Source organism: Homo sapiens, chromosome 8 (assembly GCF_000001405.40).
Source record: "Homo sapiens chromosome 8, GRCh38.p14 Primary Assembly".
In the NCBI taxonomy this organism is placed as follows: Eukaryota; Metazoa; Chordata; class Mammalia; order Primates; family Hominidae; genus Homo; species Homo sapiens.
In genome coordinates, this window is record NC_000008.11 from 12,946,897 (window position 1) to 12,971,516 (window position 24,620).

The window sequence follows — 24,620 nt, forward strand, 5'->3', positions numbered from 1 at the left end:
TTCCAGGTTTCAGAGGTGTGGAAGATATCAGTTCCTTGGATAAAGGCAGCAGCTACACACTTTCTAGCAGCAAAATGGCTGAAGAACTGAAGGGTTTAGGATTTAGGAGATGGCTACTGGGACTCCAGCCCGTGAACATCCCAAAATGACAAAGACAGCTCTTGGTTAGCATGTCTGTCTCTAAATTGTGCTGACTAATAAACAGCTGTGAGCTCTTTGATTCTCAGTCCATTCTGACTGGGTCACTGTGGGGAATCCTTTAAAACCAATGAGGCCATAAAGCTTGAGCTTTGCCTATCCCTGTTGTTGGAATATTTTGTCTCCAGTCTCCTAAAGATCAGTCTGAGAGACTGGAACACACCTCACAATTTCTTCCTGCAATCTGAAGTTAAGCTCACCCGGGTCTACCATTCAGCCTGGTGATGATTCCACTTCCTTATGCATCAAGATGTTATCATGCTAAACTAGCTAAAACCACTAAAAAAATATGGGATGACTTGGAAAGGTGGAGAAAAGTGGGTAAAAATACAGTAATTTTTTTGGTAAGTCTCCATTAAGCTAATAATAGGTAAGCACCCTCAATGGCTAAGAGCCAGTACCTTAGACCACGTCCTTGAATAAAATAGATGGTCAAGGCTGAAGTGAATGAAATGGTGACATAAGCATCATGCAGCACATTTTGAGGCTTATGGCAACACATGCATATTAATGCAAATATGTGCATTGAGTTCTAAGTGCTAAGGACTGTGATAGCCAATGAGGATAAGTAAAATAATGGTCAAAAGCTTTAGGAAAAGAACTTACGTGAATTCCTTACTTAAATGCCATAACTTAAGAGACTTCAGGTGTGCAGTATTTATTACATAAGCTGGAGAAATTTCATGCTTTGCTAGGCAACAGCCTTGTAGTCCACAGGACATGCTAGATAGCTCCTTTGGTTGATTGAATTGGTCACATTTGGAAAGTGTGCAGCCTATGTATAAGGAAGCATTGGGGCTGCCTTGCTCAGAAACAGGCAGTGAGTAAGGCAGGCATTCAAGGAATCATGGCCGGCCATCTGTAGCCTTAAGAGGTGTGTGCCAGACCCAGGGAGTTGACTAATAAAGAAACTGAGTTAACTGAGAAAGGTCATAATAATATTATATAGTACTGTTGCTCCTTGACTTACGATGGGGGTTACATCCTAATAAACCCATTGTAAATGGAAAGTGTTGTAAAATGCATTTAACACACCTAACCTACTGAACATGATAGCTTGGTTTAGCTTAGCCTTAAAATGTGCTCAGAACACTTACATTAACCTGCAATTGGGCAAAACCATCTAAGACAAAGCCTATTTTATAATAAAGTGTTGAATATCTCATGTAATTTATTGAATCCTGTAGTAAAAATGAAAGACAATGGTTGTATGAGTACTAGAAGTATAACTTCTTGTGAATATGCATTGCTTTCAAATCATCATAAAGTTGAAAAATTGTAAATGAACCATCGTAATTCAAGGAACATCTGTATATATAATATATATAATATATTCTGTTATATATAAATATATGTATGTATATAACACATAATACAATAATTTATATTATATAAATATATTAAAATATATAATACATGTGAATATATATTCATATTGCATATATATTTACATTGCATATGAATATATAATATATAAGTATATAAATTATATGCATGATATAATAATAAAATGTAATGATAAAGAAACTTAGTTAACTAAGCAACACACAGTGAAGTTAAGTGTAACATTAGAAAAAAACAGAAGGCCAGGCACGGTGGCTCATGCCTGTAATCCCAGCACTTTGGGAGGCCAAGGCGGGTGGATCACGAGGTCAGGAGATCGAGACCATTCTGGCTAACACGGTGAAACCTCATCTCTACTAAAAATACAAAAACTTAGCCGGGCATGGTGGCAGGCGCCTGTAGTCCCCGCTACTTGGGAGGCTGAGGCAGGAGAATGGCGTGAACCTGGGAGGCGGAGCTTGCAGTGAGCCGAGATCGCACCACTGCACTCCAGCCTGGGTGACAGGGCAAGACTCCGTTTCAAAAACAAACAAACAAAAAACCAGAAAAACACGTGTTCAACGTTTCATAGTTGTCTAATTTCTGTTGAGACTATGGCCAACACACTTTATAATTCTTCCTCAGAGAAAACGTATTGTTTCTACATAGACTCTACTTATTAATAACAATCTTATGTGTGGCATCACTGGCCTGTTTGTATTGTTTTCTTTTTCTTTTCTTTCTTTCTTTTTTTATATACAAAAATCTCCATTCTAAGAACTCAAGTTAGGAAATGCCATAGGATTGGTTATGACTACCGAGAGTAAAAATCCACTGAAATTTTAAAAAACTGAAAAACGTTAAACCTCACAAATAATGAGAAAATAATGCAATAAACCCCCATGTGTACACCCAGCATCAGCAACTGTCAATATTTTGACAGTCATTTTTTATCCTTTCCTCCTTTTTGCTGAGATGTGAAAGTGAAATTCTCTGGTACAAAAATAACATAAATGGCTTAAAAGTCTAGCTATGTTTCTCTGGTGTACAAATTTTCTTTACAGTACATTTTTCTTTCCTTTCCCACAACCATTACCCAAATTCTACTGGTGGTCACTGAAATGCCGCTTATGATGGCCTCAACTAGAAAAATCTCTTTATTTTTCTACCTGCCTCCAAACAAGAAAGAAGTTGGTAACTCATGTCATAGTTCACAAGTCTCTAGGGATTCTACATGTCTGCTTCAAGCCGTCAGTGAACTTTCAGAAAACAAATGCAAATATTTTACATTTGTTTATTATATAAGGGGGTTTCAAAGCTTCTATCAACATTTTCATAGGGGCCTATTACCTACAAAAGGTTAAGAATCTCTGCCTCTATTATGTCTTGAAAGCATATCAAATATACTTTCTCACTTCCACTCCCTAGTTAATTCTATTTATTTATTTACTTATTTTGAGATAGGTTCTCTGTCACCCAGGCTGGAATGCAGTGGTGCAAGCACAGCTCACTGCAACTTCAAGCTTCTGGGCTCAAGTGACCCTCCTGCCTCAACCTCCTGAATGGCTGGGATCATAGGCATGCACCACCACGCCCAGCTAATGTTTTGTATTTCTTTCAGAAATGAGGTTTCACTATGTTGCCCAAGCTGGTCTCAAACTCCTGGCCTCAAGCGATCCTCCCACCTCAGCCTCCCAAACTGCTGGAATAACAGGCATGAGCCACCTCACCTAGTCCTTAGCCAATTTTTTATATCTAAATCAGACATTGGACACCACTTCCAGGATGCCTTCCCTGACAATGTCACCTATAACTGATTTCCCTTATGTTTTCCTACAAAAGTTAAGGTAGGTTACTTTCCTGTTTATCACAGTCTTTCAATCACTGGACGAGTATTTATCAGGTCCTACTATTTGCCAGGCACTATCCTATACTTTAGGTATGCTTTGTCTCCTAATGCACTGTTAGAAGAGGACAAGGAACATCACAGTATCCAATACGTCTTCTGTGTCCGAAGACATATTGTAGTTGTAGCTCCAGTGAATGGAAGCAAGGATGAGCTGCTGCATTTCTGTAGCTGGCATTCAGCTCAAGAATACGTAAAACCAGACTCGTGGTTTTTTCTTTCTTTCTTTCTTTCTTTCTTTTTGAATGTGAGGCCTTTACAGAAAAAGAAAATGTCAGTCTGATTATCCAGGGCATGAGGATAAAGAGAAGCCCAAACAAAGGTTTCCCCCACTCCACCCCACCCAATATACTGTGGCACTAGAAAACGATTCCAGAATCAGAAACTATATGCTGACGTCCATTAGCCCTCTTAGTAGCACCTGAAATAGACCAGCGTCTATGTGAGACCTGTAGTTGTGTCCTCACAAATAACCTGTTATAGACCAGCGTCTATGTGAGACCTGTAGTTGGGTCCCCATAAATAACCTGAACTGGAAACAACAGCTCGACATGAACTCTGCCCCCTACGCTGGGGATCAGGAGCACGAACCTCTATACAAAGGGCGGCAGAGCGGTTACTAAATGTGCTCATTTTTCGTCACTAAGAACGTGCATTTTTAAAGTGCATAGATCCCTGATGATAACGGAGTTGTTTGATAATAGGCGGTTGAAGATACTATTACGTTAGGGACCTGGAAGAAAGTAGTTAACGCTATTGTCATAGAAGCAATGGGGGGAGGAAAGGTTTGTGTCCAGTTTTGGGCAAAAACTTCTAAGTTCCACCCCGCCTTCTGATGGATGCTTTTTTGATGGGGCTCGTTTTGCAAAACTCAGCAGATTAGGCATGTTGTGTAGTGGAATGATTTGGAGCGTCTAAGCCGTGGCACCCTACTTAACCCCCCCATCTCCAGTTATCCCAATGAACCGACCCCGAGGGGGCATTTCCGCTGAAGTCCGGGGCTGTAAAAAATTAAGTGAGAAGAGCCGCGCTAAAGCCAAGCGTCGTCGTCACCCAAGGTACTGCGCTGATGCGCTGCGGGCCGACCAGGTGCTCCCGCCGGGGCGTCTTCTCCTACGCAGGAAGGGCCACGCCGAGAGAGGCAGGCAACAAGGGCACGGCTGGAGGCCGGAAGGTCACCCCGTCCCCGGCGGGGCGGGCGCGGCCCAGCCTCACTTCCCGGGCACGTTCGGGCGGGGCGATTGCAGGGAACGGGGCGGGGAGGCGACAGTCCCCGGCTCCGCCGCGCGCCAGCCCGCCTTCGCTGCCCGGAGGCGCCGCAGGCCTGGGTTCCCGGACAGCTGAGCCCGAGCGCCGCCTCCCGAAAGGTGAAGGCGGCCCGGGGAGGCGGGGACGGTGACGGGGGCGGGGGCCGCGGGCGGTCTCCCGACGGCTGTCGCGGGGCCAGCCCAAAGCCCCCGATCCCCGGTAGCTGCGCTTCCCGCGCGGGGCGCCGGAGTAGGGCGGGCCAAGCTGGCCTGCGGCCGCGGCGGGAAGAAGGGCTAGCGAAGCACCCCCGACCGGGCCCAGGCGCCGGACGCCGGGGGGCGCCTCGCTGCAACTTCTCTTTGGAAGCCCCGACACGAGCCCCGGCCCGCGCGCGCGCTCCCCCACGGCCACGCGCGCACCCTGCCGCCCGCACCCCCGCGCGCCCTCCGTCTATTTTTTCCTCTTCCTTTCATCCTCACACTCTAAAATAGGTCAAGGGGTGGAAGTTACACCTGGTGCAGCCCTCGGCTCTGATGCAAAAGCAGCTTTTGCCCCTGGCTGCGGGACAGCGCTGTGACTACTCGCAACGGGAGAGCTGCTGCCAGTCGCCACACCGTGCGGAAAGCGCCGGCGACCGGAGCACTGACAATGGTCTGCATAGGGGAGCGGAGAGAAGCTTCTGTTGCGCCCTAGATCCGCTGCCTCGGCGCCCGCCCGCAGGGAGGAGGGGGCGCGACAGGTCGTCTAGCGCGTGCCCCGGAGCCCGCGCCCGGGTCTGGCCGCCTGGGTGAGTTCCTGCTCGTCCCCTGCCTTTCCAGTAGCCCGGGGTGGCTGTTTACCTTGCAAACAGCCTTGCAATACGATCAAAACAGGCGAGACAGCCATGCAGTAAGGGATTGCGGGATGTGCTTTGGGTGTGAGATTGGATAAATCAGAATTCAGAGATAAAGGACATGTCTAGTGCCTTAAGGGTTAAAGTGGATTCGTATTTTTTCATGGAGTGCACGTGTATCTTTCCCTGGGGAACTGATTTTTAATTAGTAAGAGGCAAAGAACTAAGATAACTTGAAGCCAGAAAGTTTTCAAAGCTCACGATGAAAATACAGTTTAAGAAGGAATGCCAAAATAGGAAGGTAAGGATTTGTATGATATTACTTGCTATGTGTGGGGTTTTTTTTGTTGTTGTTTGACGGAGTCTCTCTCTGTCACCCAGGCTGGAGTGCAATGGCACGATCTCGGCTCACTGCAACCTCCGCCTCCCGGGTTCAAGCAATTCCCTTGCGTCAGTCTTCTGAGTAGCTGGGATTACAGGCAACCGTCACCATGCCTGGCTAATTTTTGTATTTTTACTAGAGACGGGGTTTCACCATGTTGGTCAGGCTGGTCTGGAACTCCTGACCTCGTGATCCGCCTGCCTCGGCCTCCCAAAGTGCTGGGATTACAGGCGTGAGCCACCGGGCCCGGCTGATTCTTTTTATAGTACTTGGGTTCTTTGTGATAAATGATGTGAGCCCACAATGCTCTATGTAGAAAGAAGATAAGGCTGTAAACGTCTACTTGCAGAGCTTTATGTTAGGTGGTAGGCATGAATTTAAATGTACATTGAAAATTTAGTGTGTAGAAAGAGCTAAAATATATCTATATTGTTTTCAGGTTAAGATTATTGGTAATACAGCTAACCATTGGCATTTCACCCTGTTTCAGCAATTAAAATTGCTATTATTCATGTGACATCAGCAAATGGAAGCCTTTATCTTTCTATTTTTTATTATTTATTTGTTTGTTTGTTTATGTTTGAGATGGAGCCTCACTCTATCGCCTAGGCTGGGGTGCAGTGGTGCGATCTTGGCTCAATACAACTTCCGTCTCCCGAGTTCAACCGATTCTCCTGCCTCAGCCTCCCCAGTAGCTGGGATTACAGGTGCAAACCACCATGCCCAGCTAATTTTTTTGTGTTTTTAGTAGAGAGGGGGATTTCACCTTGTTGGCCAGGCTGGTCTTGAACTCCTGACCTCAAATGATCCACCCACCTTGGAAGCCTTTATCTTTTAGCTAACGAATGGTTAACTTGTTTGAAGTTTGGGGAAGGGAGAGTTAGAACTTTCTCTGTCTTTGATGGCTGGCTGAGAATACAGGGTAAAGAACTGTCCAGTGTTGTGAGTGGTGCCTTAGAGTTGCTCATAGCAAGAAAATCACTTGGGAGGGTGGAAGTGGCTCTCAGATGGTCATTGGTTACCTATAACTTATTTAAAGAAGACCTTGAGAAGTTGGGACATATCTTGTCACTGAGGAAATTGTGCCAAAGAACTGCTGCTTTATTAACGCATTTGATCAGATTTGAAAAGAGAGCTCTGTATACACTCTTTTTCTAACTCCAAAGAAATTTTGTTTCTAGAAAGATTCAATTACCGTAATGATGTTCTTTGGAAATGTGCCTTTTTGCGTGTATATCTTAATATGGATAAAGTTCCAAGGTAGTTCAAAGGTTTTAATAAAATTTTACTTACCAGAGTGATGTGAAATTGGGAATACCCTGTGTGAATGGTTAACTCTACTTTAAATTGGAAGGTCAATGGGAGTGGGGATCTTCCCAGTAAATCTTAAATCTCTGTGTACGTGTATCTCTGACAGCGAAATCTTACTGGAGATTGCAGGGGTTGTAAAGAAGAGACCAGACCTTATAGTATTTCTGATACGCGGATATGTGAATGCTTAAATGCATTTCACTTGTAAAGAATTTATATGCTCCTTTAGAGAACTAGTCTCCAAAATTTGAAACACATTTATGAAGAAGGCTCTATCATTGCTTTGAAGAAGACACAAGCAAGACATATTTGGCACTATACAGGCTCATAATATTGAGAGCAAAATGCAATTAAATGCCTGTTTACTACATGTCACTGTTCTCATTTGTGTTTTTAAACAGGAATTGAGTGAAAGCTCTCATTGCGATTAAGCCCCTGGTATAATGCATTATTGAAATTAGGCTGTCAGCGCTTGTCTGTGCAATCTTATGTTTTTACTCGTAGATAAATTAGGAATTCTTCTGAAAAGAATGGCATGAAAGCATTAAGATAACTGGAGAATTCATTTAAGGACAGACTGAAGAGTGATGCCAAATGGCCATTTAAATGTCCTTCAGCTTTTGTGACTCACTTCTTTTGATGCCATAAAGAAAGTACCTTGCATAGAACTCCTAGCTGAGACATCTTCAAAAAGAGTTAACATCATTCATTTTGGATACTCACTTCTCATCCAGAGAAACTTCTAACCACTCAAAGAAGACATTTTAAGAGTTTGAACTAGATCACCTGGATTAAAAAGCCCAGCTCTGAGCCATTTCCTTGTCTGTGAAATGGAGATAATGACACCTCCCCAGGTGGCTGTGGGGAGCAAATGAATAGGTGTAAATGCTGAGTACACAGTTGGCACATTGTGAGCAGTCATAAAGAGGGGTTTATAATAAGAAGTAGGAGTGTGTTGACTAAATATCATCTCCTGGAGGCTGCAGAGAGGTTGCTGCCTAATAGACTCTAGAACTGAATATTTGGGTCACTGGTTTAATCCCCCATCTGGGTATACTGAATATACTGCTAGTATACTCCTATAGCATAGAGTATAGAATATGCTGTACTCTTAGTAATCAGTGTCCTTTGGGAGCCAGAGGCTGTCACACTTGCATCTTCTCCACCCTAGACAGGCCTTTGACTCAGCTAGGTTAAAGAAGTAACCTGTGGTTGTTTTTAGAGATGATGATGAGGTGGTAGGGGAAGGAGGGCACTTGAGGAGTTTGGTGTATGGTCCTCTTCACACATATGCGTGTTTTTATTCTCTTTGCCTTTCCCCGTTCCCTCCTATCCTCCCTTCTTTTCTCTCTAGGGGTCCCGATCATTATTTCCCAGCCTTTGTTAATATGTCTCGGCATCAACCCTAAGCCGTAAAGGGTTGTTAGTCCTGATTTGGGTAGTCCTGCAAGGTGCAGCCTATGAACTTCTTGTTCTTAAAGGTGTAACTGCGAATGTCAAATAGGCACAACCTTTGCCACTTCCATGGTTCTTCTGGGGTGTTACGTCCCATTTTGCTGTATCGAATGTGCTCATTTCTACCTTCTCTTTCTTCTCTGTTAGGTTGCAGATAATGGAAACTATCCTAACTATTTCGAGCAGGAAGGGGTTGAATATGAGAATTAGATGCTCACAGGAAGGTTGGAATGAAGGTTGCAACTGAAAGTAGGGGAGGGGACCTGGCCTGAGCCTCATGCGTTGGCTCCCGGGCGGCAAGCTTGATGGGCCCCCAGGGTTGCTGCTGTCATTGCCACAGCCTGGGGGCTGGGAATCAGAACCACCGCTAGAACTGCTAACATCAAGGGTGCACCTTTTGGGCTGTGTTCCATTGATCAGAGAGGCTGCTGCAAAATGCCTCTCCACCCTAGGAAGCTGGTGACTGAACATTGCTACCAACAACAAAAACAAGAAAGCAAATGTTTTCCTTAGATGCTCTCCACTTTCCTTCTTACGCTACTCATCTCCCTGCAAGAACACTGTGCCCAGAACCCTAGCTGCAAGGGACTCTGGGAAATGCAGCTTATAGGTTTCTAGCCTCAAAGGTAGAGGGATGCACACTTGAAGGAGATAGGAGTGAATGTTCTGTGACAATCCATCATGCCTAACACATATCTAAAATATATTTCATCCGAGATTTGGCTAGAGTATTTATTTTTAAAATTGGTAGAGATTGACTTTGGAAAGGTAAGAGGATATGTTGTAAAAATTTTTTAAAGGAGCTAGTTGCTAACCAGTTACCTTTTCAAACAGATGGATGTTATCGTTTTGCAGCTGAAATTGCTGGAAAAAGCATCAAGCAAATGAATAACTAAAAATTACCAAGCGCCTGCCTCTGCATACGGTACTAATTGAATGAAAATAATGTTTCTTAGGTTTGATTTCATAATCAAGGTAAAATATTAGGAAAATGATTGTTTAAAAATTATTTTTCCTTCTCAAAGCCGCAGATAGTCTACCCATTTAATGAACCACAATACAAAGGAAGAAAGTAATGTACTGAGAGAGAAATAATAGCACCTGGCTTGTTAGTTCTTTCATTAGATGAATTATCTGTGTTTTTCCCGAATCTTTCTCTCCCCTGTAACTTTCAGCATGCTCATTTTAAGGATTACAGAAATAGACATGACTTGTTTATTGGAGAATAACATAAGAGTATGCTTGAATTCACTTTAATTACTTATTTCATACCCTGGTGCTTGTCAGATTCCTTTTTTTCCAAACTATTGAAGTAGATATGATTGGATCTCTTCTATTTTTAAGCAGTAAATTACCAGTTTATTTGCACTCACAAATTACATTAGCACATCAAGGGATGGTCTTGATTATTGAACAAAATTTTGTTATATTTACCTCTGATATTTGGAGTTGGAAAATGAGAGAAAATATTCGTCCAGGGAGTGGATAACAATAAGGTTATGATAGTATGGTACTTTTATTATAAGTGCAGAACAGTAGCTTACTCGAAGAGAAAGTGGTGTATTCTCTCATGGTGAGGTGGAAGATGGAAATAATTGAAACATGAACATGTTTCTGCTTTCAAAGAATATTTGTTGATATTTTTAATAGCAACAAAAAGGTAGCCAAGAGAGGCAAGAAGTAGCAACTGTCTGGGCCCATGTCTTTGTCTTCTCTGTTCCCTTTAACACAGAGCTAGTGAAGTAGGTGAGCTTGATAAATGTTAGAGAGTTTTAGTGTTTAGAGAAATAATGTGTTTATAAGAAATGAGGACTGCTCTTGGTGCTCTAATCAGTGTTCATGAAGTAATCAGAAGCCATTAAAATTTTATCAGAGCCTATAACATTCCATGGGACATCAAATTTATGATTAGAGTAATTAAAAAAATACAGGTACATTCTCAATGTTAAGACATTTGCATACAAAGATGGTAATTCAATGACTTAATACAATTATGAAATAGATCTAGGGTGATCAGATGACTTATTGTTCAAGCCAGGACACTTTTGAGAGTGAAGAGGGAATGATTACTGATTGCCCTGAATACAGAAGCATAAATGGAGACTACCTCAGCAAACCTAGGGGTGACCAGGACTTAATGGTCACTCAAGATTAAGGTGCTAGTATTATAGCTTGATTGCATTAACTGCAACATTGATTTTAAAAAATTGTAATAAAATATGCATAGAATTTTGTATTTTGCATAGAATGAAGTGTACTATTTTAACTGTTTTTTGAGTGTACAGTTCAGTGACATTTATTTTCACATTGCTGTGCAACCATCGCTGCCATCCATCTCCAGAACGTTTTTATCTTCTCAAAGTGAAACTCCATACCCATTAAACCATAACTCCCCATCCCTCCTCCTCACAGTACCTTTTTGTTGCTGTTAAAAATATCAATAAGGGATTCCACTTATATAGTATATTAGTCCGTTTTCACCCGGCTGATAAAGACATACCCGAGACTGGGTGATTTATAAAGAAAAAGAGGTTTTTTGTCCTTTTGTGATTAATTTATTCCATGTAGTATAATATTTTCAAGGTTCATCCATGTTATAGTGTATATCAGAATCTCCTTTCTTTTTAAGGCTGAATAATATCCCATTGTTTACGCCACATTATGCTTATCCATTCAGCTGCAGTTCGGATACATGGCTTGCCTCCACCTTTTGCCTGTTGTGCATAATGCTGCCGTGAATATGAGTGTACGGATATCTCTTAGAGTCCCTGCTTTCAATTCTTTTAGGTATATACCCAAGTATTGGTTTTTAAATGAAGAAATTAAAAATGGAAGGAAAAGAAAAGCATTCTTTTCTTCTGTAAGATATTTCTGATCCTGTTTCTCCAGCATAGTACTGCATCAGATTGGTGCCCAGCTATGCCTCTGTAGGGTTCATCAGAAGAAGCAGGTAATTGAAAGAAACTACCTGCTGAAAAAAGCACCCAAGATCTTAAATTTCATCTCCATACAAGAAAGGAAGCTAGTTTTTCTGTCACAACTACCATGATGCATTTACCACAGATGTATGTCTCTAAATGAACAAGGCTAGCATCTAGAATGTCAGAATCTGAACAAAGTGAATGATGGCCTTCAGTAGCACAAAGAACCAGCATGAGATTGAACAAAAGAATTCTCCATGTGACATATACACCATGGAATACTATGCAGCCATAAAAAAGGATGAGTTCCTGTCCTTTGTGGGGACATGGATGAAGCTGGAAACCATCATTCTCAGCAAACTTTCACAAAGTCAGAAAACCAGACACCACATGTTCTCATTCATAGGTGGGAATTGAACAATGAGAACACTTGGACACAGGGCGGGGAACATCACACACCGGGGCTTGTCAGGGGTCGGGGGCTGTGGGAGGGATAGCATTAGGAGAAATATCTAATGTAAATGACAAGTTGATGGGTGCAGCAAACCAACATGGCACATGTATACCTATGTAACAAACCTGCATGTTGTGCACATGTACCCTAGAACTTAAAGTATAATAATAATAATAAAAAGAATTCTTCACGTGACCAAGAACATCTTTGTAACACAGGGGACCATGAACTTCCTGGGTGAAAGGGAACAGGTCTAACAACTACACCTTGGGCATCCCTAACCTGAAAATCCAAAATTTGAAATGCTCCAGTATCCAAAAATTTTTGAGCACTAATATGATATGCCAAGTGGAAAAATCCCACACCTGACTTCACTTGACAGATTGCGGTCAAAACGCAGTCCAAACTTTGTTTCATGCGTACAATTATTTCAAAAGATTGTATAAAATTACCTTCAGCTATGTGTATATAAATCATAAATGTATGTTGTCTTTATGTCCATGCAAATATGCCACAACTGGAAACACTTCTGGTCCCAAGCATTTGTATTTTCCTCTCCTCTCCTCTCCTCTCCTTTCCTTTTTCCTTCCTTTTTTTTTTTTTTTTTTTTTTTGACAGAGTCTTGCTCTGTTGCCCAGGCTGGAGTGCAGTGGCACCATCATGGCTCATTGGAACCTCAACCTCCTGGGCTCAAATGATCCTCCTGCCTCAGCCGCCCAAGTAGCCGGGGCTACAGGTTCACGCCACTACACCTAGCTAACTTTGTTTAGTTTTTGTGTATACTAGGTCTCACAAAAAGGCTACTTTGCCCAGGCTGGTCTTGAACTCCTAGGCTCAAGCGATCCTCCCACCTCAGCTTCCCCAAGTGCTGGGATTACAAACGTGAGCCACCATGCCTGGCCTGGTCCCAAAGATTTCAGAAAAGGAATACTTAATCTGCTTCTCTTGATTTGGAAGCTGAGATGAAAGGAGACAGGCTACAGCAGAATAGGGAGCTTCCAGGTACCCAGAAAAGTATTCTTCCTTTGGCTGTGGAAGTAGACACCTGAATGCCAGTGTCAAGAACATACGTGCAGCTGATCTCAATTCAGACAATCCCTTTATGGAAGTGGAGACATCAAATTGCAACTCTTCATTGGAAGTTTTAAGTAACACAATTTCCACTGGAGCTTTACAGTCCTGGAAAGTAATGTCCATGCCTCTGGGACAAATAAGGAGTTGCTGCATTTACTATATGGGAATTGCTCCCCCTGTTTAATTCTCTGAGCCAGTTTTGGCACTCTAAGGAGTCAACAGAGGAAATCTGCTCATTTTTAGTGGCAGCCTTAAGGGAAATAGTTACATTTCAGTCACTAGTAGTAACCAAGCTTAAGAAAATATATCTGCAAAAGCTACCTGACAATCAGAAATGGTAGCTGAGAACCAAACACGTATTAAGGAGCTTTCAGAAAAATGGAGCCCACGGAGTATCTTACGGCAGCCCAGAATGGACAGTGTTCCCAGGCCTGCTCTCCTTGGACTGTACCTGTATGGGTGAAGACTGAAAAATGAACAGGCAACTCCACACAGAACCTGCACACAAATGTCTGTAGCCACTTTGTTCCTAATTGCCAAAAACTGGAAGCAACCAAGATGTCCTTCAATAGGTGAATGGATAAACAAATTGTAGTATATCCTTACAATGGAATATTATTTAGTGATTAAAAAGAAATGATTTTTCAAGTCACAAAAAGACACGGTGGAACCCTAAATGCATATTACTAAGTAAAAGAAGCCAGTCTGAAAAAGCCTAAATGCTGTGTGATTCCAGCTAATTGACATATGCAAAGGCAAAACTCTAGAGACTGTAAAAAGATCAGTGGTTGCCATGGGTCGAGTGTGGGGGTAAGAGAAGAATAGGTTAAACACCAGGGATTTGTAGGGCAATAAAACTGGGCTGGGCGCGGTGGCTCACACCTGTAATCCCAGCACTTTGGGAGGCCAAAGTGGGTGGATCACGAGGTCAAGAGACCTAGACCATCCTGGCCAAAGTAGTGAAACCTTGTCTCTACTAAAAATACAAAAATTAGCTGGGCGTGATGGTGCGTGCCTGTAGTCCCAGCTACTCGGGAGGCTGAGGCAGGAGAATCGCTTGAACCCGGGAAGTGGAGGTTGCAGTGAGCCGAGATTGCACCACTGCACTCCAGCCTGGTGACAGAGTGAGACTCCATCTCAAAACAAACAAACAAACAAAAAACTATTCTGTGTGATATAGTAGTGGTGGATATGTGACATTATGCATTTGGCAAAACACAAAGAACTGTCTAATACAAAGAGTGAATCCTAATACAGCCTACGAATGTTAGTTAATAATAAATATCAATAGTGGTTCATCAGTTGTAACCCAAGTACCACACCAATGCAATATTTTAATTTAAAAAAATCATATTTTTTTTAAAGTTAAGAAATACCTCACTTGATGCTAGCATAGGAGTTGTAGAAAACATTACCTTCGGCCGGGCGCGGTGGCTCACGCCTGTAATCCCAGCACTTTGGGAGGCCGAGGTGGGCGGATCACGAGGTCAGGAGATGGAGACCATCCTGGTTAACACGGTGAAACCCCGTCTCTACTAAAAACACAAAAAATTAGCTGGGCGTGGTGGTGGGCGCCTGTAGTCCCAGCTACCTGAGAGGCTGAGGCAGGAGAATGGCTTGAACCCGGGAGGCGGAGCTTGCAGTGAGCCGAGATCACGCCACAGCACTCCAGCCTGGGTGACAGAGCGAGACTCCATCTCAAAAAAAAAAAAAAAAAAGAAAGAAGAAAACGTTACCTTCAGGGATCCAAGTGATGGCAGGTCAAATGGTAGGCTACATAGCTCCAAGTCAAAAGAATTAACAAAACAGAGCAGCTCTGTTGCCTTAATCCCAGAGGAAACATCTAATCAGCTACACTGCACCTTCAGTGCAGACATTTCACCCAGGCTTTTAGCAGGCGAGGAGAATATATTCAATCAGACTTCTCAGCAGACCACTTCCTTGCCATCCAGTTTCATATTGGTTAAAGACTTGGATCAGAGACCACAGAATCCATTAACAGACACACCTGAAACCACAGAGAATGCCAGCCCTGAAGCTGCAATGCCAACCATCCACAAGTTTCTCCAACCTTCTACCATTAATGTTTTGTCCTACAGACATGGACTGGATTCTCCATGCTAGCTTTCCTCTGCAGGAAGCTCTTGGGGCTATGCATTGAGTTGGCAGAAATGCAGACCTTGATATTCTTGCTTTGCTAGGACACCATCATAACTATGGAAAAATGGGCTTCATCATATGCCATTCCCTTCAAAAGGCTGTGTAGACACACCCATACATATACATTATGTGTAGAAACCTACATGCAGAATGTTGAGTTAGATAATTTTAACGATTTTTGTCAGCCAAAATAATTTATGATCTCTTGTCTGATAGTTTGTCTACTTGTTAAAATGTGGGCCTTTTAAAATGTGTTGGCAGTATGTGCATACAGAAGATTTTCGTTCTCCTTAAGATGATGTGTTCTGGCTTAAATTTTTTTTTTCGTTTGTTTTTTGTTTTTTGTTTTTGATAGGGTTCCCCTCTATCACCCAGGCTGGAGTGCAGTGGTGTGATCTTGGCTCACTGCAACCTCTGCCTCCTGGGTTCAAGCGATCCTCGTACCTCAGCCCCCCAAGTAGCTGGGACTACAGGTGTGTGCCACTACACCCAGCTAATTTTTATATTTTTTGTAGAGACGGGGTCTCGCTATGTTGTCCAGGCTGGTCTGGAACTCCTGAGCTCAAGTGATCTTCCCACCTCGCCCTCCCAAAGTACTGAGATTATAGGCATGAGCCACTGCGCCTGGCCAGATTGATGGTTTTATGTGTAGCATACCACTTTAGAATGAAAGTGAGTCTTTGAAAAGCAGAACCTACTAGAAATCCTACCACTGGCACAGCTAACAGCTGACTGACTTCACGCTGTGGCTGTGTGTTTGTGCTATAGACGAGGTAGGGCTTGTCAACTTAATTGTCAAGTTAAAAACTTGTAGCCACATGATTTGGGGGTTTGATTTCTTCCCAGTCCGCTGAGTATTATGATTTATCCATTAAAGCAGGAAATTCAAGAATAATTGAATAACTAAAAAATGGAGGAAAAATTATGTTATATTTTTACATGGAGCTTTTTATTACAGGTAAATAGTAATCACTAAACCATGTATACTGGCAGCTGGGCATGGTGGCTCACTCCTGTAATCCCAGCACTTTGGGAGGCCAAGGTGGGCGATTCATGAGGTCAGGAGTTTGAGACCAGCTGGCCAATATAGTGAAACACCGTCTCTACTTTAAAAATTCAAAAATTAGCCTGGTGTGGTGGCATGCGTCTGTAATCCCCGCTACTCAGGAGGCTGAGGCAGGAGAATTGCTTGAACCTGGGAGGTAGAGGTTGCAGTGAGCCAAGATTGCACCACTGCACTCCAGCCTGGGAGACAGAGTGAGACTTTGTCACAAAAACAAAACAAAACAGAAAAACACATGTATACTGACAGGACACAGTGGCTCATGCCTGTAATCCTAGTGTTTTGGGAGGCAGAGCTAGGCAGATCGCTTGAGCCCAGGAATTCAAGGCCAGCCTGGGCAACATGGTGAAACCCCGTCTCTACAAAAACAAAAATTAGCCTGGCGGTGGTGGAGTGTGCCTGTAGTTCTAGCTACTCGGGAGGCTTGAGCAGAGAGGATTGCTTGAGCCTTGGAGGTCAATGCTATGATGAGCCGTGATTGCACCACTGCACTCCAGCCTGCGCAGCAGAAGAAGACCCTGTCTCAAACAAAACAAAAATGTATACAAGTTTTTTAAAACCTTGTGCAATGGCTACTTTCATTTAAGCTGTGCCTGAGTAGCTCCTGTTTTCTGTTTATTTAAACTAGGCTGCAGCGTGGCATGATAGATCTGTGGACATGTGGAATCAGCCCATATGGGTTCTAGTCCTTGCTCCTCAAGAAACTAGTGATATTGTTTCCATACTGGTTGATTCCCAAATATTTATAAATGACACCAATCGCATCAGCTTTGGTTTTGTAAACCATTCACTTGTTTTTGACTCTGATCTTCTCGTACATGAACTGTGTAACTTCTCATTTTCTAACAATTTAGGATGCCCTAAAACAGAGGTTTTATGATCAAGGTAGAATATTGGCTTTTCTAAGGAAACTCAAAAAGACTCGTGTCATTATTGTGACATTAGTTTTGTTATTTTAAAGCTATTTTTCAAAAATATTGTATTGCATCTTTTTGAAAAACATTATTTTACATTTCAACATCATTGACATGGGGTACATCCTACAGTTGATAACACATCCTCATCTTTCTTGGCAATAAGTAAAATAGTTGTGTATTTTACAAAATAGATGGCCTCCTAGCTTCTGTGAAATGTGTGATAGCCACTCACCAGAACATTTCCATCCTGCCGCAGGAACTTCATGTCGAATGCTTTGTCTTATTTATTTTGTAATTTTAAATTTGGAGCCAGAGTTCCGTATTCCTGTTTAATTTGTTTTTTACTTTTAAAGCAGTTTATGATAGAACTCCTTGAGGTTAAAAAATAGTATTTGTAGTTTTTAACTCTAAATAATTGCTTTTTGTTTGTTTTTGCTTGTTCGTTTGTTTTTGAGACGGGGTCTCTCTCTGTCACTCAGGCTGGAGTGCAGTGGCACAGTCACAGCTCATTGTAGCCTCAAACTCCCGGGCTCAAGCGATCTTCCCTCCTTATCCTCCTGAGTAACTTGGACTATAAGCATGCCACCACACCAGGCTAATGTTTTTTGTTTGTTTGTTTGTTTGTTTTGTTTGTAAAGATGGGGTGTCACTACGATGCCTAGGCTGGTCTCAAACTCCTGGCCTCAAATGATCCTCCCAGTTCGGCCTCCCAAAGTGCTGGGATTACAGGTGTGAGCCATGTGCTTGGTTCAGAGATAAGACTGTTTTCTTACACACAGGCTTATCTCTGAAAAAGCAAACACAGTCATAAAATGGAATATGAAAACCGAAAAAATTAAACTTTCCAAAATAGTCTGGTTTATTCTGGTCACAGACTTAATAACCCCTCCCACTAGAAGAAGTACAATTTGCTGCCACAGGAAAGCTTAAAATGTCAAACACATTCTTATAGAATACAGTGCAAGCTGCCTGCAAATGAGGCCATTCTTTCAACTGGTGTTATTCCCTGCTTCAGTGCAGTTTTCATAATCGTGGCACTTACTCAGAACCAAAAGCCTCTGTGTGTGATATAAGCATTCAAGCCATATGGCTGAATTGGTTTTTGTAGGTATTAAGCAGGTGTGGATTCGGAGACTCTGGAGGGAACTACAAAATCCAAGCTATTGAGGAGCTCAGTTGGAAAGAAACAGAGCTAGCATCACAGTGAACACAGAGCATAGAGATGGTGGCAGGGAGATTTGGCTAAAAAGCAGAAGGCTGGCAATCAGAAGGCCAACTACTCAAGGGCTTAGCCAGAAGACATGGTGTGGCCAGCCTTCCCCAGCATCCGGATCCCCGTCCAGAACCAAGGTGGCCTGTGAGCTGTCAGTACAGGATGTCACCAAACTCATTAGTCCAAAGCTGACCTGTCTGATGACCCGAAAGTCTTTTTCTTCATATTTTTGATAGGATCCCAAAAGGCTTAGTTGTCTGATTTTTTTTTTTTTTAAGCCCAAGGTAGACTACAAGCAGGAAATTAGAAAGTGGAGGAGCTTGTGGAGACAGGCACAATGAGAGTGAGAAGTGGCAGCCGACAGCAAGGTGGGGCAGGCTGGGGCACAGCAACTCACGCCTGTAATCCCAGCATGTGGGGAGACTGAGGCAGGCAGATTGCATGAGCTCAGTAGTTCAAGACCAGCCTGGGCAACATGGCAAAACCCCATCTCTACTAAATATACAAAAATCAGCCGGGTGTGGTGGCGGGCACCTGTAGTTCCAGCTACTCGGGAGGCTGAGGCAGGAGAACCACTTGAACCTGGGAGGCGGAAGTAGTAGTGAGCCAAGATAGTGCCACCGCACCCCAGCCTGGGTGACAGAGCAAGACTCTGTCTCAAAAAGAAAAAAAAAAAAAGAAGCACTCCATGGCCAGGCATGGTGATGTACACCTATAATCCGAGCACTTTGGGAGACCAAGGTAGAAGGATCACTTGAGCCCAGGAGTTCAAGACCAGCCTGGGCAACATAGTAAGACCCCCCCCATCTCTACAGAAAGTGAAAAAAACAGTAGCCTGGCATGGTGACCCATACCTCTGGTCCCAGCTACTCAGTAGCTACTGCACTCCAGCCTCGGTGACAGAGTGAGACCTTGTCTCTGTGCTCAGGGTGTGGGCGGGGGGAAGAAATACTCCAAACAGATACAACCATGTGCCATTTAGTGTGGATGCAGACACTTTGTTAACCCCGGAAAGCATTGCTACTGTATAATACTTTGTCGTCTTTATTGATAACCCCTATGTTATCAATAAAGATGTGTTGTTTACAAGCTAGACATTGCTGTTCTGTAATACTTTGTCATAATTAGCTCCTATGTTACCAATAAAAAATGTGTTACTTATAGACTATTTAGATAGACATAAAAGCATGTGTTGGAAAGATTTCCATGATAATACAGCTATTTCTATTGTTTAGCCATGTGGCACAGCATTTATTTAAATTGGTCTAAATTTTTAGTTCAGTGCCCATTTATTTAGCCTGGGACTTCTTTGATTAATACAGGAGATGGCAAGCATGAATACCATCCAATGTATGAGAGTAAGAACTGGATGCTGTGGGAACTCACAGAGCACCCTCATTTCTAGCGCATAGGGTTAGGGGAACCATCCTGTTCAAGATGGGACCTGAGCTTCGTAGGGTTTGTTGAGGAGCTGGGTGCAGTGGGGAAGTCTGCAGGCCTTGTTTTCCCAGAGGAGCAAAAAAATCGGCTTTACCACATTCTTACTACCTTGCTTCCATTTTACAGTGTTCCTTTCCATGTTTACATTATGAGATTATAATCCAAAAGCATTTTAGGGCTAGGTAGTACTCTAGTACTCACCTTCCTTACAGACACCGACGGTGAATACTCCCAAGGTGTGGGAAGGATAGGTAATGACATCCTAGGTATTTTTTTAACAGTACACAAAATTCAAATTGAGAAGCAGAAATGTTTTACAAGTTTCATGTCCAAACAAGACATATCTTTAGGATCCTGGGTAAGTCATCTCCTGAATTTGTTCTCTTTCTGAAATGATCATCCAAAGATATGCACAATGTTCAGAAATCTTTGATCAGTTAAGTTAAATACCAGTGGGTTGAACAAAGGCATAGGTAAAAAGTCATGAAAGGTTTTAGGAACAAATGTATTTCATAGGACTAGACAGTGGCACAGCTGAGACTTGACTTTGGGACTATAGGTCTAGAAAAATCCTTTTCTGAACTACTACTACATCCTATAGCTCCCCTACAAAGACTGAACCTCACCAGACCATAACGAAATGGCAGGGATGGTGACAACGATGATTTGTTTACCCCAGAGATTTTTCTTGGGTTAAAGTTGACATTAAAAAGGATGACATTCTCCAGTTACCATTTGACCAACTCAGACCCTCTTCAATTAGATTGTTTTTAGCTTTTCTCCACCAATGAACTAATAATTAAATGCATCCTTTCTAATTAAAGCAGCTCATTAACAATGGCAAAGCCTCCTGAGTTTTCAATTTTTCTTTTTAAGTGAGTAGTCACTTCCATAGTAGAATTACTCATCCACTTAAAATGTCAGGAGAGTATTAAATACATCTTTATGCATATAGTGATGGTCAGTATGAAAGTGATCAGTGGGACAAAGCTTAACAAATGGGTTTTGAAGCATTGTTAACAGTTTAATTTTCCCATGTCTTTGGACAGGCTGAAGGTCCTTATTATACAGCTGCTAAAAAAGAGAACAGTCTTCTAATTTGTTTACTTATTTACTTTCTGAGACAGGCTCTTGCTCTGTTGCCCAGGCTGGAGTGCAGTGGCACGATCTTGGCTCACTGCAACCTCCGCCTACTGGGCTCTCACCTCAGCCTCCTGAGCAGCTGGGACTACAGGCACACACCACCACACCCAGCTAATTCTTGCATTTTTAGTAAAGATGGGATTTCACCATGTTGTCCAGGCTGGTCTCAAACTCCTGGGCTTAAGCAATCCACCCACCTCGATCTCTCTAAGTGCTGGGATTACAGACATGAGCCACCACCTGGCCAAAAGTGCTATTTTAAATGAAATACTGTTCAAGTCACGGAAGACATACATCCCAAGGGACTATAAAGTTCTACAGGAGTATATGACTTTCTGGGCATGTGGCCTGTGTGATGGGGATGAGGTCAAGAAGAGTGAGGAAGTGGGCAGATCTTCCTGGTTTCTGTCCCTTTAATCTAGAAAGCCTCAGGCTTGTTGTTTGGTTGGAATTGCTGTAAAAGGAGACTTTTCCTTTCATAAACAGACATTATCCAGTGACAGACATTTTAGCAATTTCTGGTATATTTGTTGTGAAGAGCTACATAGTTTTAAATAAATTACCAAAATCCCTTAATGCTTTCTAATAGGTGGTCTGCATTTTAATGGAATGCAATCAGGTTAACTGGAATCTTAAGAGAGTGACATTTGGAGGCATGAGCTGTGAGCCGATAGCCACGTGGACTCCAGGTTCAACTCCCTACTCTGGGAGGAGTCAGTCCTCAGGGTGGGAGGGACAGCCTGAGCAGCTGGCAGTCCAGAAGGCCCCTCCCTGAGTCGCGAGAGTGCACCCCTACCTCTCACAGGAGGTGTAGTCCTGTTTGACAAGGTCAGTTACTAGAAGAGGTGCAGTATGGTGGGTAGAGAGCCATGCTGTTCATTATCTACACAGGCCTGGCCTGACTCACCCCATGGAGAAGCAACAGATTTGCAGGACTTCGGCAGTGGTCACATAAGCCTGCTCTTACACATATTTATATAAAACCGAAAAGTGGGCTGGGTGAGGTGGCTCATGCCTGTAATCCCAGCACTTTGGGAGGCCAAGGCAGGTGGATCACCTGAGGTCGGGAGTTCGAGGCTAGCCTGATCAACATGGTGAAACCCCATCTCTACTAATAATAGAAAATATTGGCCGGGCGTGGTAGCATGCACCTGTAATTCTAGCTACTCGGGAGGCTGAGGCAGGAGAATCGCTTGGAAGGTGGAGATTGCAGTGAGCTGAGATTGCGCCACTGCACTCCAGCCTAGGCAAGAGAGTGAAACTGTGTCTAAAAACAAACAAACAAACAAACAAAATACTGAAAGGCCCACCGTCTCTTCATTACACAGGTTTCCATCCATCCTAGTCTCTGGGACAGTGCTAGCTACCTTTGGGCTCACAGAGGCCTGTAAATCTACCTTCCTATGTTTCTGTATTGTGTATATATAAGTAAGTAAACAATTGCACCCAGTCACTCCTTTGCATCCAAAGGGGATTGGTTCCAGGACCCACTCTACCCCCACACCCCTGTACTAAAATTCATGGATGCACAACTCTGTGATACAAAAGGGCATAGTATTTGCATATAACCTGTGTACATTCTCCCATTATTTTAAATCATCTCTAGATTACTTGCAATAACCTAATACAATGTAAGTGCTAAGTAGTTGTAATAATGTATCTCTTATTTGTATTATTTTTTATTTTTTCCTAATATTTTTTCTTTTTTAAAAATTCTCTTTTTATTGTTTCTTTCTTCTTTTTTTAGAGAGTGAGTGTCTCTCTATACCGCAGGCTGGAGTGTAGAGTGCACTGGTACAATCACGGCTCATTGCAGCCTCAAGTGCCTGGGCTCCAGGAATCCTCCCACCTAAGCCTCCCAAGTAGCTAGGACTACAGGCCTGCACCACCACACCCAGCTAATGTTTTAATTTTTTTTTTTTTTTTTTTTTGTAGACACATGGTCTTGCTATGTGGCCCAGGCTGGTCTCAAACTGACCTCAAGCCATCCTCCCACCTCAGCTTCCCAAAATGCTGGAATTACAGGCATGATTCTGATTTTAAATATTTTTGATACACAGTTGGTCAGATTGGTCCGTGTGGAACTCAGAAACAGAAGGCCAACCATGCATAACGAGGCAGAACTTTTGGAGATCCTTGGTGACCTCACTGTTGCTGAATAAACTTTAGCCCCTCACCTGGTGATAACACCAATACCACCTGGTTTTCTTCCAGGTATGTGCAAAGTGTTTCACTTCTGTGAACAAAAATATTTGAAACAAAAAACAAATTTACTTCGTTAGCTTGTAGACATCTGTTGTTATTAAACAGACCAGTGCCTTCCTTCACTGTCCATGAACTTTTGGTCCTGTTTTTTATGTAAGCCTATTTCTCCTCATTTATTCACTCTTATTTTCAAAGTAGCATTTGCCCAACTTTTACGTTGTCATGTATTCAGTATTCTCCATCCCAACCTAACAGTGAAGAGAGCACATTGTGGCAGGTGCCTTCCTCTTCTTATTGCTGCATGATTCCAATCCAATTTCATGGCTTGGTGCAGGGCCTCTTGGTAAACGTGGACTCCGTTGTTCAGATCTAGAGCAGACGCCTTCTGGGCGGTCCTACAGATTTACATCAGTGAAAGAGATGAGCCGGCTGTGCTGACCTTTTTTGAGGCTTGCAATGTATTCAAATGTGTGAGATGGTTAATGCAGCTGTCAATATTAATACTATTCCATGGATTAAGGTCCTAAAAATATCCAGCCAAGTTTAAAAAGTATCACTACAGAAAATCACAATTTTATTTGGAAGTGGAATTAGGAATTGGCACCAAGGCTTTTTATGACACTTTTGGCTTCCTGTCACTCACTTCATGTCTTTCTAGCCTCTTAGTCTGTACAGGGTAACACGTTTGGGAACTGTGATAAGAAGAAATTCAAGTCTGCATATTGGCTGCCAATGCTCGAAAGTTCTGTTGTGATTTGGGGGATGTTAAAACACATTTCTCTATGAAGGCTCAGTCTTAAAAGAGGAGAGGCACTTTAGAAAGTATCTGTATTTCTTCATTTTTTGCATTTTTAAATGATGTATCATAGTTGTACATATTTTGGGGTACATGTGCTATTTTGACACATGTATACAATATGTGATGATTAATCTGAGTAATTTGCATACCGTCACCTCAAACATGTATCTTTGCCTTGGGAACATTGCAGTTCTTGTAGCTATTTTGAAATAGACAATAAAGTTTTGTTAACTGTCGTTTCCCTGCTGTATTATCAAATACTGGTATTTATTTATTTTTCTTTCTTTTTGTTTCCCCTTTTTTCAATTTTTTTCTTTTTTTGTTTTGTTTTTCATTTTGATATTTCTTTATTTCTAAGAGGAAAGAGCATGTACCCAGAGAAGCTAAATATTTTGCTCAAGGTGACTTTGCCAGGGAACGGCGGGCCTGGGCCTGTGACCTCAGGGTTCTCCCGGTACAGCATTTTTTCATAATAATGAAATCCTCTGAGTTCTACTTTTGAAGTTTTCTTTGTGAGGTTTAACATATTGTATTGGTGTTCCGACTTCAAATTGTGTATTAGCTGGATTTAAAATG

The 24,620-nt window shown here is 42.5% G+C and overlaps 1 protein-coding gene and 1 pseudogene across 1 annotated transcript in view, besides 2 other annotated features; both read left to right on the plus strand.

Moving 5' to 3' along the window:
- TRMT9B (tRNA methyltransferase 9B (putative)) overlaps positions 1–24,620 on the plus strand; it is an 84,105-nt gene that overhangs the window by 1,224 nt on the left and 58,261 nt on the right. The gene's annotated exons all lie outside the window — the stretch shown is intronic.
- Positions 3,971–4,471: an enhancer, noted in NCBI's record as "H3K4me1 hESC enhancer chr8:12808376-12808876 (GRCh37/hg19 assembly coordinates)". NCBI's record gives its function as "activates a minimal SCP1, AML or CMV promoter by ChIP-STARR-seq in naive H9 embryonic stem cells {active_cell/tissue: H9 hESC(naive)}" and the evidence as "EXISTENCE:reporter gene assay evidence [ECO:0000049][PMID:30033119]".
- Positions 4,643–4,792: a silencer, noted in NCBI's record as "silent region_18955". NCBI's record gives its function as "represses an Ori minimal core promoter by ATAC-STARR-seq in GM12878 lymphoblastoid cells {active_cell/tissue: GM12878}" and the evidence as "EXISTENCE:reporter gene assay evidence [ECO:0000049][PMID:35858748]".
- LOC100422204 (regulator of solute carriers 1 pseudogene) lies at positions 11,511–15,310 on the plus strand (annotated as a pseudogene).